Source organism: Homo sapiens, chromosome 9 (genome assembly GCF_000001405.40).
Source record: "Homo sapiens chromosome 9, GRCh38.p14 Primary Assembly".
Classification (NCBI taxonomy): Eukaryota; Metazoa; Chordata; class Mammalia; order Primates; family Hominidae; genus Homo; species Homo sapiens.
Genome location: NC_000009.12, coordinates 116254270 through 116271496, shown reverse-complemented (window position 1 = coordinate 116271496; position 17227 = coordinate 116254270). Strand labels below are relative to the sequence as shown.

Genomic DNA, 17227 nt, shown 5'->3' with positions numbered 1-17227 from the left:
TATTGTTGGCATTATCATTGACCAACCATTCTGCACCGTTCATTTCTTCATGAAGGCCACAAGAAATGAAAAAGACGTACCAATACAATTGAAGGAGACTTCTTGTCGGCAGAAAAGGGAGCAGCCATCACCATTGATCTTATTCATGTCGTCGCATTGTTCACCTTGGTCTCTGCAGAGCAGATATGGAAGAGAAATTTGCCAATTTAGTCTTAAAACCATGGCTGGACATGGAAAAGTCCCTCCCTGGGCCATGAACCTTCAGTGAGACCTTGCACAAATCCCTTTCTCTGTCTGAGTCTCTGCTTCTTCATCTTCAAAATGAGATTTCTAAAAGGTATGGATTTATAAGATACTTTCACATTTGCCTTGCTTTGTGTTTCTGATGACAAAGTAGAAGTCCTGATTCCAACTCATTCTCTGAGATCTCAAGTCAGTTAAGTCAGATGGGAGTAAGACATGGAAGAACTAATGAACAAATAAATGGTCTTGCTCCCACAGTGTCTAGGAAGTCTCACAGACATTTCCTTGTCTCTGATCTTAAAAAAAGCATATTTGAAGGAAAATGTAGAGATTCTGGTCCTTCACCACTCCCTGCCTTGATATCCTTCTTATTCCCCCAATATACTTAAAGGTAACTTTTTTTTTTTCATTCATGCATTCAAGTTTAGTCATCCTTCCATTGGAAAGTTTTGCTTTCTCCATCGGGTGTGTCATTTGTTGGTGTCAAGAACTCCAAGGGCTGCGAGACTACACTGTTATGAAATACTAATGCCCCCTTTGTTTTTGTTGGAATTATTTCCACCACCTAAGGATGATTTTGCAAAGGGTTGGGATGGGCAGAAAATGAGCAATGATCTTTGAATTGGGCTTAGGTGATGAGAAGGAGGAACAACACCTGAAAGTCTGGATGGGTTACTGCTTTCTGGAAAACGGTCATCCTTTAAAAAACAAAACACTTGGGTTTAGAACCCCATGTCTCAAACTAACTGTATAATCTTGACAAAGTCACTTGACCTCTTGATCTGATATTTCTGTGATGATTTACATTTAAATTAATTGAAATGAATTATAATTAAAATTCCAATCCTCAGTCATAGTAGCCACATTTCAAGTATTCAGGAACCACATGTAGCTAGTGGCTACTGTAATGGACAGCACAGAACACATTTCCATCATTGCAGAAAAATCCATTGAACAGTGCTCCTGTGGATGCTGAACTTCAGTTTTCTCATGTGCTAAAATGGAGATAATTAGTCCTATGCCTCTGAGTAGCTTAAAGTGGTTGGCACAGTGGGTGACACATAGAAGATGCTCAAGGAATCACAGTCCCCATTCCCACTTTGCGTTGGGAGGTCTCTGCAGAGTGTGTGACAGCTGTCCCTCCCTCCCCAGAGACCAGCTGGGACCTGTCACAGCATGGAAGAGGCCTTAGACTTTTCCTTTCACCCAGGCAATTAACACTGGGCAATGTTTGTTGCTTTTAAGAGGTGTCAGAGTAGCAGGATAATGCCTTGCAATCAATCCTTAAGATGGCTAGGGCATTGAATTGATCTCCAAGGAGCCACCCAAGTCCTCTCCTGTCTGCACACCTATGAGCAAAGAAGAAGTTTGTATTTTTAGCTGGTCTCAGCATTGTCTGGCAGTGGGTCTTGCTTGCTGGAAATTGCCGATGACCTTGTGCTTCTAAGCTAATGCATAGGTTGTTTTGGAAAAGACTTTAAAAACAAAAAAATACCTGGGCTGGTTCCCTAAGCCACAAAGCTTACTTTCAACCTCCCTTCCATCGCCACCCAAACAGTGTTCTACTGGTTTAAACAAAATATTCGGGTCACTACAAATATCTTCTAGGCATGACAGATCTATCATTAGATAAAGAAGTTCTGCGAAACCTTATTTGACCTCTGGGGCTGGAGCGGGTGGCCATCTTTCTCTGTGTCCACAGACATCTTGCTCCATCTATCACAGCACTTGTCAAACTGACTGCCTTTGCCTGTTACTTGAGAGCCCCTTATAAGAGGCTGTAATTTGCCAAAGGAAGTGACAGAGTCTTCATCATCCTAGCACCCCAGTTTCTGGCACAGTGCCTAGGATATAACAGACAGCATGCAGCCACTCCTTTACTTGTTAGTTTTGCAGAGTTGTCACATCACACAACAATGCAATGGGGAATCCAGATGAGAATCTGGGCCCTCTGTTCATGTATTGGTTCTACATCTTACCAGATGTGGAAGCTTGAGAAAACCTCTGTAATCTCTTTGTGTATTCATTGTTTATCCGTAAAGTATTATAATAAGACCTATCTCACATGGCTGTTGGGTGGGAGAACTCAAGGAGACAATAATGTAGCACAGTGCTTCATGCACAGTAGAGACTCAAGAAGTGTGTATAAATATTATTGTCATTATCAAAACGTTCATCCATTGCCTTCACCTTTACCCGATCTATCAAATGTAGAACCTGTTGCTATGGATCATTTAAGACAGCACTCATCCATTAAGGGCCTCACTGAGTGCTGAGTCTATCCATATTTCTTCATAAATTATTTTACAGACAGAGCAAATTAACTTGCATCATTCCATGAAAAATCGTATTAGCTAAGATGATATCCCTTCTTTTCCCCAAAGTTTTCCTTCCCCCCTACCCCCCCACCCCTACTTAGGGAAACATCCATAAGCTAAATTTAGTTTTCTACAAAGTATATCAACAAATATTTGATATCTACAGGTAACTGAACATGTGTTTGATGTTTATGAAAGATACTAATTCTAGGTAAAAATACTAAAAAAAAACTGTATTAAGTATACTATTTAAAATTAATAATAATTATGATACTAATAGTTTTAGATCAGCAAGAATGATATCATTTGCAGTGTTTAACCAATTCATCTATATCTGTTTCCACCATGAGCTGAGATGAGCTGTAGATGAGGCTCCAAATCTGATGACTTAAAAAAAAAATTGGGCTAAATTAGAAATTCCCAAATCACAATTATGAGTTATCACCAGTGACTGCAAATGTTTTCTGGATAGTCTAGATATGAAGTTCAATCTTGGACCCACAAATGATGGGGTACTTTCTCCATGGAGAGTCCTCTGTTTAGTTGTTCAATGTTCCATCAGACAGCAACTTTATCAAAAGCTGGAATTTGATGTATTAATGTGGGAGAGAACAGTGAGAAGTTTCCCTTTCCCCAATTTTACTGCATTGGAAACTGTATCTTCTTGTTCTGTTGCTTCATATGAATGTGGATCTTAAATACATACAGCATTGTATGTTAAATAGCTCAAACAAGTGAGGAGCTTTCTATTCTGTGCTTGAGGAGTCAAATTCTTGGCAATCAGCTGATTTGCACCATAATGCAACAGTTATAAACCCTTACACTAATCTCTTCAATCTTAAACATTTTGACAATTCAGATATAAAATTTTAGGTGTAGGACATTTAAGAAATAAACATATGATCCGGAAATATATAGATAAATATACATATATGTTCCTGCTATGTTCCTGCTTCAGAAAGCCACTTGAGATTATGCAAATAATTACTTGCCTCATCAGTGCCAATATTTTTTTAATGCCATTTCTTTTTTTTTTTTTTTTTTTTTTTTTTTTGAGACGGAGTCTCGCTCTGTCGCCCAGGCCGGACTGCAGACTGCAGTGGCGCAATCTCGGCTCACTGCAAGCTCCGCTTCCCGGGTTCACGCCATTCTTCTGCCTCAGCCTCCCGAGTAGCTGGGACTACAGGCGCCCGCCACCGCGCCCGGCTAATTTTTTGTATTTTTTTAGTAGAGACGGGGTTTCACCTTGTTAGCCAGGATGGTCTCGATCTCCTGACCTCATGATCCACCCGCCTCGGCCTCCCAAAGTGCTGGGATTACAGGCGTGAGCCACCGCACCCGGCCGCCATTTCTTATTTTAAAAACTTGAGTTGGTATCTTTTCATTAACAGTTGGCAAACTTTAGTTGTGGAGTGGGGAGCAAAGAGGAACAGAATCTTGTACATGCTACTATCTTGTTACACAGCAAGTTTAAAAGATATAATTTACCAATCATCTGATCATGTTTGCAATATTTCTATTGCCTTTAATGTTAAATCATGTTCAGAAAGAACACTGCTGGCAAATAACTGATGTCTATGTGGATGAGTATTTATATGCCAGCTCTTTTCACTTGCATTACTGCATCATCCTTGCTGTATTCCTAGCTGGTCCTTTCATCCTAAAGCAGAGGTTTCCAGTTTACATTCCATACCACAAAATCATCAGAAACAAATTAAATTGTTCTTCCCCTCTAGCTTAGTGTTAGTGATGAACAGAAAGAAAGAGTCATCTAATGTGTCTCTTTCATATATGTACTACTCCTACGAGTTGATTCATGTTCTACACATCAGTGGTTTCATCCAACTGTGAAGCAAATTCTTTTTTCATACCACCCCTCCCCTTATAGAAATAGTAATTGCAATTCCATATTGCACAGATATTATGTGACACCCAACAGTGCTATTTAATGAAGGAATTTTGCCAATAGCTTGTTTTGCCTTCTCCACATGTAATGTTTATCATTAAATCTGTCAATAGTTTAAAAAGTCTCTTAGCAATAGTGTGACTTGCAAATAAACATTTTAGCAATGAGGAACATAATTTTAGCAATAAGAGATTTAATTTTGAATAATTATTGGTCTCTTTTCCACCTCTAGAGACAAAATTCTCTATTTTGTACTAGAAAACTTTTTTTCTTATTCTGGAGGAAAAGCACTTAAAAGTTTATTTATTGAGTTTTAAACAATGCAAAAGTCTTGGTGGCTCCTCACCCCTGTTTGCCAGTTGCATAGCATCTTGTCCTGAGAACAGGAAGATGAATGGGTTGATAATCTGATAAAATCCACACTTACTGATTGGACCCACAAATGATGCTTCATTTGCCTCAGTGTACTCATATTCACATTCAATATTCACTCCAGAGCACTGTTTATTATTTATGGTTTAAACATTGTAGTGAGTTAAAATACTCCACTGTTTTTATAAGCCTTTGACCCATTTTGTAAATTGTTGTATAATATGATACAATAGAGATAACAAATAAATATGCAGTTTTCATAAATGTGAATGGTAACCAGCAAAGAACTTAAAAGTGTTTTAACCTAGATGAACTGTGTCCTGTTAACTGAATGTACGCTGTGACTGTGAGGGAAAAATCTAATGGAATCCTTGTAGCACACATAAAGCAACTGAGAGCAAGAGCAAATGGTAGTAGGTACATAAGGGTAGTTCTGTCTAAATCATATATTGTATTACATAGTCGCAAAATGTACGTGTTCAAAAAGAGTCATTGCTTTTCTTCTGAGTTCAGCAAATTGTTTGGAGACCAATCCAGAGACTGCTGGGGACCACTAGTAGCTCACAGCTCATGCACTGAAGAATATGTCATAAGCTCTTCTGTTCAGCACCCTAACCATCTCTTGACCTAACCAGCATCCCTCCTCTTCTTTCTTTAATTAGATCTACTTACTTTTGTATAATGCCATCGCCACAGTACCCACTTCCATGGATGTATGTGACAGCAGGTGATGGCTCACTCTCTTCAGTTCCTGAAATAGTTATGACCCAATACTGGTACACACTGCCAAGATTTAGATCCCTGGAAAATACAAAGAAGACATAATTATACAATTACAATACTGGGCAGACAAAGAGAGAATGGAAAATTGATCCCCTGGAGTAGGTTCTATCAGTCTTGCTCATTTTTGAAATCAAATGCACATTTAGCTATCCAATACTTTCTATTGTCCACTATGGCTACATCAGTTAGCTAAGTATAATGGACTACACTAAAATGTACAGTAATAACCAGCATCAATTGACTGATAACTATGTACTTACTAGGTGTTGTTTTTTTCTTTAATTTAACCTATACAGCAACCCTGTTGGAAAAGTATCAGATGGCAAATGACTAAAAATGAAGACGTTTGTGAGGAAGCCATCCAGGAAAAATAAATATAAACAAAAGCACAGAGGTGGGAAAGCACCACATCAGATTCTTAGGGCATTATCTGATCATGTTTCCTCATTTTAAGACCTGAGCAGAAACTCCATTACACGTGAGCAAACCCTTTTCTGATGCTGTGTGTACAGTGGCTCTCTGCCTCCCTGCCACTTGCTTCTCCCTATTTCTTTCACTCTCGACAAAATAATAATAATAATAGCAGCATCCATTAATAGAATATAGGGCCTTAGGCTAAACACTTTTCATGAATTTCTTATTTGAGAAACAAAACATCCCTACATGGCTGCTAGTATTTACATGTTGATTTTACAGATGGTGAATCTGAGGCATAGGAAGGTAAAGCAACTTGCTTACAATCATATGCTATTAAGTGATATCCTATATTCTGCCTATCTTATCCCTATTTTAGGTCTGTTTTAATAACCTCACCCCTTGCAAAGTTGGGTCATGTCCTGGGAATCGCAATTCCAAGGACTGCTTCCTGCCAGATTTCCAACTTGCCTAGACTGCATCTCTCCTCTGACCTAAAGACCTCCTAGTACCTGCTTGGGCTTCCTCACAAACACACCACCAAATGAACACAGCTACTGCCAATTATCCTCCAAGGCAAATATATGTTTATGTCAATTCCACACGACCACATCCCCCTCCCTATGTCCTTTTTGACAATTTTCAAATGAAGATGTTATTCCTATCTTTCATCTACCTCTGCATCAATTATTTTTAGTAATAATTTTTTAATAACAACAAAGTACCATGGGAAAAAACACAAAATGATAATGAAGAGAATTCCTGTCAGATTCCAGCATTGGGGGGGATTTCATAAACAAAAGGATGATGTCAAAAAATCTCAAGTTCTCCTGCCCGTCTGTTATTTCAGCTGCTGTTAGGACTTGGGCTGTTTGGTTAAGGCCAACAAGATAACAGGTGCAGGGGCAATGGACAGAGAATGTCTTCAGACTCTCAACACAATAATGAGCTGGAGTTTATGAGCATTGAAGGACTCTGGGAAAGAACACAACTTTCCTGAGAATGTTGGATGTATTACCCCAAAGGGAGTTTGTTTTAGCAGCACTGGAACTGCTAATATTGTGGGTAGACCAAAAATCCCTGGAGATTTAGTGCTCTGCCAATGAAGATGAAATAGGTGGACATACCAATATCTTGAGAGATTTTTATGCATGAGTGATGGTTGTTTTGTAAACCTCGAATCCTAATTTGTTGATAGAATTATAGGGTTTATGATTTCATTTAGCTTATTGGCTACTTTATCCACATCTAGACTAATGAGCATATACTTCACCTGGTGATAATTCTAAAACTGGAGTGGGGTGGAGAAAAAAGTAACAATCCCAGGGGATACACAAAGTTACATGATAAATATGACATGCCTTGTATTATGCGTTCATTTTTTTCTAAAATACAGAGGCATGCTTTATATTTTTTAAACGGCCACATTGTGATATAAAATAAGAAATTTTCTTCAGACTACATCCCAGTCCACTGGGGCTATCCAGTCATTGTCTAAGTAGATGGGGGTAGTTCTCTGGAAAAGGGTGAGTATGAAAAGTACTTCTCTACATTGTGTTTTTCACTTCTGGCATGTGTCACGAGTGATTTGCGGCTGATGATATTTAAGGTGGTTGGCTAATATTTGTGAATGTTTTGCTCCTCTCTCCACTTTGTCCTCTCGTCGCGTCTCTTCCTCCTCCTTTTCCTCAATAAATATCAACACAGAGACAAGAAAACATGTGTTTCTGTCCTGGCTGCCTCACTTATTAGCCAGGAAGTCATGGGCCGGTGTTTTACCTTTCTGAGCCTATTTCAAATCAGTCATAAACCTGGCTTCACAGCATTTATCTGCAGATGAAGCATGAGAACAATTATAAAGCACATATGGGCCCAGCCTATGACGAACATTTAATAAATGTTAATCCATTACAATTAATGGTTAATTATCAACATTCCTGTCCACTGAATTTATGCTATGGTCCCCTTACTAGAAGAGATGGAGAGACAAATAAGTAATGTAACCTTGGTGAGGCAAACCCGTGAAGATGCAGCCATCATCTACCATGTGTGCCGTGGCTTGATGAAAATATCTTTTCTACTACTTCACTTGGCTGGAACACCCCCAGTGCCTGGCAGCTTGCTCTCTTTCCAGGTGACCCATTTCAGCTTCTGAAAATTCTGGATCCCAGAAGGTTTCTCTTTACCCTGGGGCGAAATCTGTGTCCCTGTAACGTCTACCCACCGACCTCCTTCTTATCCACTAACATCATATTTGATTAGTACAGAAACCTTAATAACCTTCCTTCTTCTAGCTGTGTGTGTGTGGTTCATATTTCATTGTTTTCCAGAAGCTTAAGCAGCTCTTTGAGGAAGGTGTTGTTATCCCAAGTTTTCAGATTGAAAAATAAAAACCCAAGTCACTCCCTTAAGTTAAAAGGTGGGGACAGTGGGATGGGTACAGCAGTTACTAAAAAGATTATGTTTTCCACGGAAAAATTCCTATGATAAAACTATATTTTACCCAAGTTTAAGTCAGAGTTAATGTTAAATGAGGGCTCTTTTCTCAAGAACCTAGGTAGAATAGATTTCTTTCAGAAGGATAAGCTAGTGGCTTCTGAAGGCTTTGCTGGAGGTTAGAACCTATTTCATTGTTGGTCTAAAAGTAGGACATTTTTGTCAAGTTGTTCCTTTCAGCTGCTCCTAAAACCATCTGGAAAGCCTTATGCTATCACTTGAACTCCTTCCCCTCCTGTGCCTCCTACATTCAGATGGACCCTAAGCCCTCTCAATTCTCCCCACCCAGGAGTTTCCACGTCATCCTTTCTTCAGCTCTCCTGAGGCCCATATGTCAATCTTGACGGCCAAAGCAGCCTCTGGCTTAATGTCCTGCTTCAAGCATATCCCGTTTCCAGTCTTGCCAACATCGTCAGAATATTCTTAAATTTAGAGCCACTGTCCAGCTCAAAATCTTTTCATTTAGTGCAGCGACAGCAGCTTGCTACCAAGCTGAAACTTCCAATTTACTCTTTCTTTGGAACTAAAATTTTAGCAGATCACCTGAGATGTGATTATTTTGGCTACTTCTGATTTCTCACATCAAATTCTGAATGCCATTTTAAGTTTTTTCTTTTTAAACTTCAACCATCCGTAGTAGTAAATCATAAAGTCTGCATCTGAATATTTTATGTTTGTAGCTAATATATTTAAATGTGATGAAGTTGTTTGTCTATTTTGAAGGGTTGTTCTGTGGAATCTTTGCGATTTTTTTTTTTTTTTTAAGACAGTCTTGCTCTGTCACCCAGGCAGAAGTCACAGCTCTCACTGTAGCCTCAAACTCGCTGGCTCAACCAATCCTCCCACCTCAGCCTCCCGAGTAGCTGGGACTACAGGCATGCACCACCACAGTGGCTAATTTTTAAAATATATTTTGTAGAGATGGGGTCTAATCAGGTTGCGCAGGCTGGTTTAGAACACCTGGGATCCAGTGAGCCTCCTCACTCGGCCTCCCAAAGTGCTGGGATTACAGGCATGAGCCACTGTGCCTGGCCCTCATGCATTTTTTTTTTAAACAAAACAAAACAAAACAAAACACTTTTTTCTACATTTAACCGTCATTCTTTAACACATATCGCAAATGGCATATGTGCCATAGGGTTGTATTTCTGATAATTAGAAACAAAAATGCTGGCATTTCTGGTTGATATGATCTCAGTATTCTGCCTCAGAAAGTCATACTGATGGTAAATGTGTATCGAATTTAGAGCACAACTTACACTAAAATTTAATTACAGGTTGTGAAATCATTATCTAAAATATTAATATATACATAAGGAGGGTAAGCACCTTATGACTTAAGCTTAAATATGCATTTAAAATGCATAAATTAAAGTTTATTGGTATGTAGTTAATATGATAGGTCAATTAAAACCTATCTGAAATCTGTAGACAAGTCATGTGATTTTGCGGGGGTCTGTTTTTCTGTCTTTTAATTAGGATGTTTGATTCTTGTCCCATACCACTGTGAAGGTCAAATAAGAAACAAAAAAGTCATATAGGAGGAAGGGGAGAGACAGGCTCATTACCCTATGGAAACATCACATTTTGCTTCTTCCAGAAAACTCTCTCTGAGCTCCTTAAATACTCATTATTGATCCTATTGTTTCTATATCATAGCATTCGTTTATCATTGTCTATCTCTTCAAATAGTCTCTATAACTAAACTGTGTTATATTTCTTTAAAACTTCATCCTCTGGAATAAAAACAGCTATCATAGTTTCTATGTGTTGCCTACTTATTATATGCTACGCACTACGTATCATATTTTGTATTTACAGTCTCAACCAAAAGAACAATCCCTCGAATAATTATCCTCCTTGTGAGATGAGGAAACTAACACTTAGGAAGATTAAGCTACTTGCCGATAGTCACAATATTTTTGTCATGGAGTAGGGATTTGAACCAGTTCTGTCTAACTCCATTCCAAGACAGTGCTTTCCAAAGACAGAAGCCCCAAGCTTTCTCAAAGTACAGCAGAATAGAAATCAAAAGACTTTGTTTTGGATCACAAAGACCTTACATACAAAGACCAGTTGAAAGATTTGGAATTTGTGTTTCATGACTTCCAAATCTTTGTTTTTCTGTATTAATTTCATAGTATTTCCCTATGAAATACTACCGTTGACTCATTGACCATGGACAAGCCATTTCCTCTTTCTGTCCACCCATTTTTTTTTTAACTATGAAAGAAGAATCTGGGAAGGATGTGATGATTAGTTCTGCAATCCATGGGTCTAATTTAAGGAGGAGTGTTGTGTTGTATCCTTATGTCTTGAGCTTTTCCATAGGCTAGAAACTGCTTCAGCATTTAAAATTCTGCACTGAGAACGTGTGTAGGTCTGGACCTACCACCCAGATTGTCTGAGTTAGAAGATGTAAGATGGGACCACCTAGGATGACTTTGGCTCAGGAAGAGTCCAAGTATTCCAGTGTAGCCTTGAGCTAAGAACCAGAGGGTAATGTCTGGGCACTTTGTATATAACCCTCCAGCCAAGAATGGGAAGGGAAGGAAACATTCACTTTTTGAGCCTGAGATGATGTGCCAAAGACTATACATGCTATTATTATTGTTTTAATTAGAAAATACTTCACTTATATAGAAAAGTACAGACTATACTATAACAAATTTTCATAGGCTTACTATACAGCTTTGTCAAATTATAACATTGTGCCATATTTTCTTCATATCTTTTGTTTTTGGTGTGAAAGGAATAAATACTGATCAAGTTTAAACCCACCTGTATGCTCCTCCTGTATCTCATTTCCTTCCCATGCACATTTTTACACTTTTTGCACAGTGTATTGTTTTACATATTTTAAATTTCATAGATGTTTCAATACTATACTTATTTTGTAGCTGGCTGTTTTTCTTTTTTCCTTAGCATTGTTTGAGATCACACATATTGCTACAAGTAGATCTGGCGTATTTATTTTCACTAACATAAATATTTTACCATATGAATATATCATAATTTATTTGGCCATTCTTTTCTTGATAGATACCTAGGTTGGTTCTTTTATTATTGCTATTATTGTTATTTAATCACTGTGTTTATTATTTACAATGTTACTTGAAATATTTGTGTTCTTTTCCTCTGTGCACATAGCAAGAGTTTTCTGAGGGAAAAAAGGCTAAAATGGTATCATTAGGTTAAGATAATTGCATCTTCAACTATTAGATATTGCCAAAGTATTTACCAAAATGATTGTATCAATTAACACATCTGCACAAAGGCTTCCCATTCCCAAAGTGCTGGTCCTTGTCAGCACTTGATTCTGCCAAATATGTAATTTTTTTTGGTCAATCTGATGGTTACTAAATGATACTTAATTATTGTTTTATTTTGCCTTTCCCTGATTACTAACAAGCCTGAGTATCTTTTCACATGTTTGTGGATCAAGTAGGTTTCTAGTCATGCATATTGTTTGTTCATCTTTTTGCCTATTTTAAATTAAGTTTTGTTTTTCTATATTAATACATAAGTATATTTACATATACTGGATATTAATTCTTTATAATTAAAGCCATTGTAAATACCATTTCATGGTCTATGACTCCTAATTTTTCATTATGTTTATGCTGCTTTGTTGATAAGAGAATTTTGTATCCTTCATGATTTGTGTTTTTCGTATGTTGTTGAATAAACATTCCTTTAATCTAAGATCATAAAATAGTCTCTTTTATTTCCTTTCAATAATTTTAAGGTTTTGTTTGTTACCTATATGGTTTCAAGCACCTACAATATAGGTTTTTATTATTATTATTATTATTTACTATTATTATTTTTTAGACGGAGTTTCATTATTGTTGTCCAGGCTGGAGTGCAGTGGAGCAATCTTGGCTTACTGCAACCTCTGTCTCCCATGTTCAAGCAATTCCCCTGCCTCAGCCTCCCAAGTAGCTGGGATTACAGGCATGTGCCACCATGCCTGGCGAATTTTATATTTTTAGTAGAGATGGGGTTTTACCATGTTGGCCAGGCTGCTTTCGAACCCCTGACCTCAGGTGATCCACCTGCCTTGGCCTCCCAAAGTGTTGGGATTACAGGCGTAAGCCACCATGTCTGGCCCACAGTATAGTTTTTTAAATGATGTGAAATAAGGATTGTTTTTCCCCCCAAATATGTATTAAAATTATTTGTCCAGCACTAGTTAATCTCTTTAAGATAACAGTTAATCCTTTCACTACTGAATTGTAATACTGCCTTTGCCATATATCATTTCAGTACTTTCATAATTTTTTTTTTCGGGGTTATCTTGTTTCATCGGTCTATTTTTGCTCTTGTTGCCCAGGCTGGAGTGCAATGGTGCGATCTCGGCTCACCTCAACCTCCGCCTCCCGGGTTCAAGGGATTCTCCTGCCTCAGCCTTCCCAGTAGCTGGGATTACAGGCATGCGCCACCACGCCTGGCTAATTTTGTATTTTTAATAGAGACAGGGTTTCTCCATGTTCGTCAGGCTGGTATCAAACTCCCAACCTCAGGCGATCTGCCTGCCTTGGCCTCTCAAAGTGCTGGGATTACAGGCATGAGCCATGCCACCCAGCCTCATTGGTCTATTTTTTATCTACTGTTTTATCGGTAGCAGTCTATAGCGATTTCCACAGCAACATAAAAGTCTTGATTTACATTATAAGTTCATTCTATAGTTTTCCTTTTCAAAAGGGCCCCTTGCTCTTCCATGTGAAATTCCATGTGAAGCTTTCTCCTTACAAATGCCTGTTGGGATTTTGATTCCAATTTCATTGAATGTATCAGTGTATTTGAGGAGAAAGGGCATTTTTATGATACTGTGTCTTCCCCCATTTATGCACACAGTTTATCTTTTTACTTATTTAGGTCTTCTTTTATAGTTTCAGTAAAGTTTTAAAGCTTTCATTATAAAAATGGTGATGATTTTTTATTAGCAATATATGCCTTACTCTAAGCATTTTATAGGTGTCAGTCCTACAGTAAATAGTAGCTTTTTATCTAGCTATTTACACACACACACACATACACATAATTACGTGTAGGTTTATTTGTATTCTAATAGTTTGGGGATAATAAAAATAATTGAGTTTTATATAAATTTATATTATATTTAGAAGTCCTCATAGACTGTTTTATTTGTTCTAGTAATTGTTGATTCTTAGTAATTTTTCTATATTGTTTCCAGTAGATGAAGAATAATGTTAGTTTTGTCGTTTCCTTTTCAATCCTCAGACTTTTTTTGTTTTTTGAGACGGAGTCTCGCTCTGTCGCCCAGGCTGGAGTGCAGTGGCGCGATCTCGGCTCACTGCAAGCTCCGCGTCTGGGGTTCACGCCATTCTCCTGCCTCAGCCTCCCGAGTAGCTGGGACTACAGGCGCCCGCCACCATGCCCCACTAATTTTTTTGTATTTTTAATAGAGACGGGGTTTCACCGTCTCTAGCCAGGATGGTCTCGATCTCCTGACCTCATGATCCACCCGCCTTGGCCTCCCAAAGCACTGGGATTACAGGCTTGAGCCACCGTGCCCAGCCTTTTGTTTTTATTTTTTGTCCAGCTGCGCTAGGTAGGAGACCAATGGCAAAACTGGGCATTCTGAAGATGACCCTGTGATCAAAAAACTTTTTACATTGTACTTATTCCCAGTTTACTATAATTTTTTCATCATGAAGGAATCTGATTTTACAGGGTTTTAAAAACTACATCTAGTAAAAATTCCTGTTTTAAAAATTATTTAATTCACAAATATTGTGAATTACATTAATAGACCACCTAATATTAAAGTCACCTCTTTAACATTATATGTGGTTTTTAATACATTGCTGAATTCTGTTGGCAAATATATAAGATTTTCGCTTGTTAGAAATTCCATTGATTGAAAAGTTTTACCTTTTTCATTTGTTTATTTGTGTTTTGTTTGTTAATGTGCTGCATTGTGGACAGAGCTTATGTTCTATCTGATACTGATACTTTGATATTTGTTTAAATTTGTTTTGTGGCCTAGTACATGGTAAAAAAAAAACTTTAAAAAATAGTCTACATCTCTATTCAAGAAGGAAATATTCATAATTTAGTTCTGTATCAGGGTTCTATACATTTTTATCAGCTCAAACTTTTTTGTGTTGTTCAAGATCTTCTAGATTATTACTATATTTTAGTTTGCTTGATCTATAAATTATTGAGAAAAATGTGTTAAAATATCACAATGTCATGCATTTATCTTTTTTTAGGTAAAAGTCATTGACTTATATATTTTCAGGTCATATTATTTCATAAATTCAGGTTGTAAATCATAATATCTTCCTTTTATCATTATGTGGTGACTTCTTTTTTTAAATCACAGTAACATATTTGCCAAATGTTTCCTTAGTCTGAAAACTATATTAATTTATTTAGTTAGCATTTACCTGGTAAATATTGTCCCCACCTTTACCTTTAACCTTTCAGCAAAACTCTTGAGTTAAATCTGACTAGAGAAGCTCTATCTTCATCCAATTGGCTTTAATCTGATTAGTATAATGACTTATGTTTCCATTTTTTCCTTGCTTATTTATTCCTTTCCTCCTTTCTTCCCTTCACTTGGATTTATCGAATTTTTAAATTTCCATTATTTGTCTCTTCTTTGTTCATCTTAACTGTGAAAATTGTACTTTCTAGTTTTATTTATTTTTTGTTGTTATTGCATTCTGTTTATTCTAAAATACTAATTTGTATACTTCTCACCAAAGTCAAAATTTAGTAAAAAGCCCTTAGGTTGTTTACTGACCCTTATTTTGATGCCTTGTTTACTTTTTTCATGTTTTTAATTTTCAGATTCAGTGGGTTTTAATCTGTGGGAATCATGTGCTCCCTGGGTCAAGTCCATGTCCTCCCTCAGAGCGATTTTACGTTAATTTCTAGGTATCCCTGCAACATCACTAACCTGGAATCTTTTTTTTTTTTTCACTTAATTTTTCAGCTCAGGCATTTTCACACCATACTGAGCAGTATAAATTCAAACATCAAGTCTTTTGAGGTATAAGACAATGGTTATAAATTTCCACTTAGATCCTAGGCAAAGATAGTAAGATGACAGTTAAATCAAATCATGTTAATTATCATGGTATTAAGGTAGGTAGCTAGACATATGCATATACATATTTTTTCCCTAGTACACCCTTTCACCAAACATGTAGATTTTCAGGGGTCGTTTCAGGGGTCCTGAAAATCTCATTTAAAATCCTTATTTTAAAAGTGTTAGTCCCAATACACTACCTTGCAGAGTTGCAAAGCCACATCTCTCCTGGGGTGAACAAGAATATTCAAGCCACTCAATTGCCAAAACTGATGGCTCTCCCTTATCCAAACTATACCAACCACAAATTTAGATCCAGGGTTTACCTGTTTAGTTCCCAGTTCTATTTTATTTCTTGCATGTCTTGCCCCTGGAAATATCCTTTTCTGTTTTTCTAATCTCAATCAGGCATTTTAAAGGATGCTAGTTATATCTGTAATATTTTATCTAGAATATCCAATGGATGCTCATATTGGAAAAGTTTTTAGTTTAGTTACTTTACCAAATTTTCCATACTATTTCTAATATAAACCTGAAAGGCAGAAATTATTTGAATTTTTTAGTTGCGATTCAATGTAGTTCAGTCATCTGCTCAATGTCAGAGATGTAACAATTATAAAACAAGATTTAAACCATGCTGTTTGACTCTAGAACCCTTTATCTTTCCAAGACATTGAGCTGACTTTTTGGATGGGCACACCCTAGTGAGCCATATAGTAATATCCAGTAAAATACAGACCACAAAAACTATTTGAAGATAAAACAAGCTTCCCTTTATGGTTCTAAAGTATTTTAGGAAGGTGAAACTCAGAGTATATTATATTATATATTTTTTAAATGTAGAAAGGTAGAGAACAATCGTTTCAACGCAAACATATCTTTAGAATGGAAGCTGACTTTTAAAAAAAGACTGGGAAGTGACAGTATATAATCTCAATTGCTTTTTTCTCCCCAAAATAAAAATCATCCATGCTTATTATAGCAAATTAGAAGGCTATATGAAAGAATTAAAGTAGAATAATCTCAAATTCCATTATCCTGAGACAGCTACCAGGAACGTTTTGGTCAGGATCCTTTCAGTGTCTTTCTTTCTCTCTTTTTTTTTTTTTTTTTTTTTGAGACGGAGTCTTGCTCTGTCACCCAGGCTGGAGTGCAGTGGTGCAGTCTTGGCTCACTGCAAGCTCCGCCTCCCAGGTTCACGCCATTCTCCTGCCTCAGCTTCCTGAGTAGCTGGGATTACAGGCGCCCACCACCACGCCCGGCTAATTTTTTGTATTTTTAGTAGAGATGGGGTTTCACCGTATTAGCCGGGATGGTCTCGATCTCCTGACCTTGTGATCCGCCCACCCTGGCCTCCCAAAGTGCTGGGATTACAGGTGTGAGCCACCGCGCCCGGCCCTTTCAGTATCTTTCTACGTGTAAACACACATACACACATTATTTTGTATAAATATAAGATCACAAATTTGTAATATCATTTCATATTTAGTGTTCATGAAGAAAGACTGACAAGTAAACCCAGATAGTAGCTTAATGCTAGCTGATTATATTTATGGTTTGATTATTTTTTAAAATTTCTGAATAAATATATTTGTATTGTTTTAGGTATGCTTACACTTATCCAACGAA

At 37.3% G+C, this 17227-nt stretch overlaps 1 protein-coding gene across 3 annotated transcripts in view; it reads right to left on the bottom strand.

The window, feature by feature from the left end:
• The window catches only part of PAPPA (pappalysin 1), a 248531-nt gene that overhangs the window by 130825 nt on the left and 100479 nt on the right, over nucleotides 1-17227 (bottom strand). For all 3 annotated transcript variants that reach the window (NM_002581.5, XM_017014784.3, XM_006717129.4), the window contains 2 exons: nucleotides 5512-5640; nucleotides 81-172 (listed from right to left, as the gene is read on the bottom strand). In NM_002581.5, the coding sequence (NP_002572.2) occupies nucleotides 81-172; nucleotides 5512-5640 (221 nt within the window). The remainder of the gene's footprint in view (nucleotides 1-80; nucleotides 173-5511; nucleotides 5641-17227) is intronic.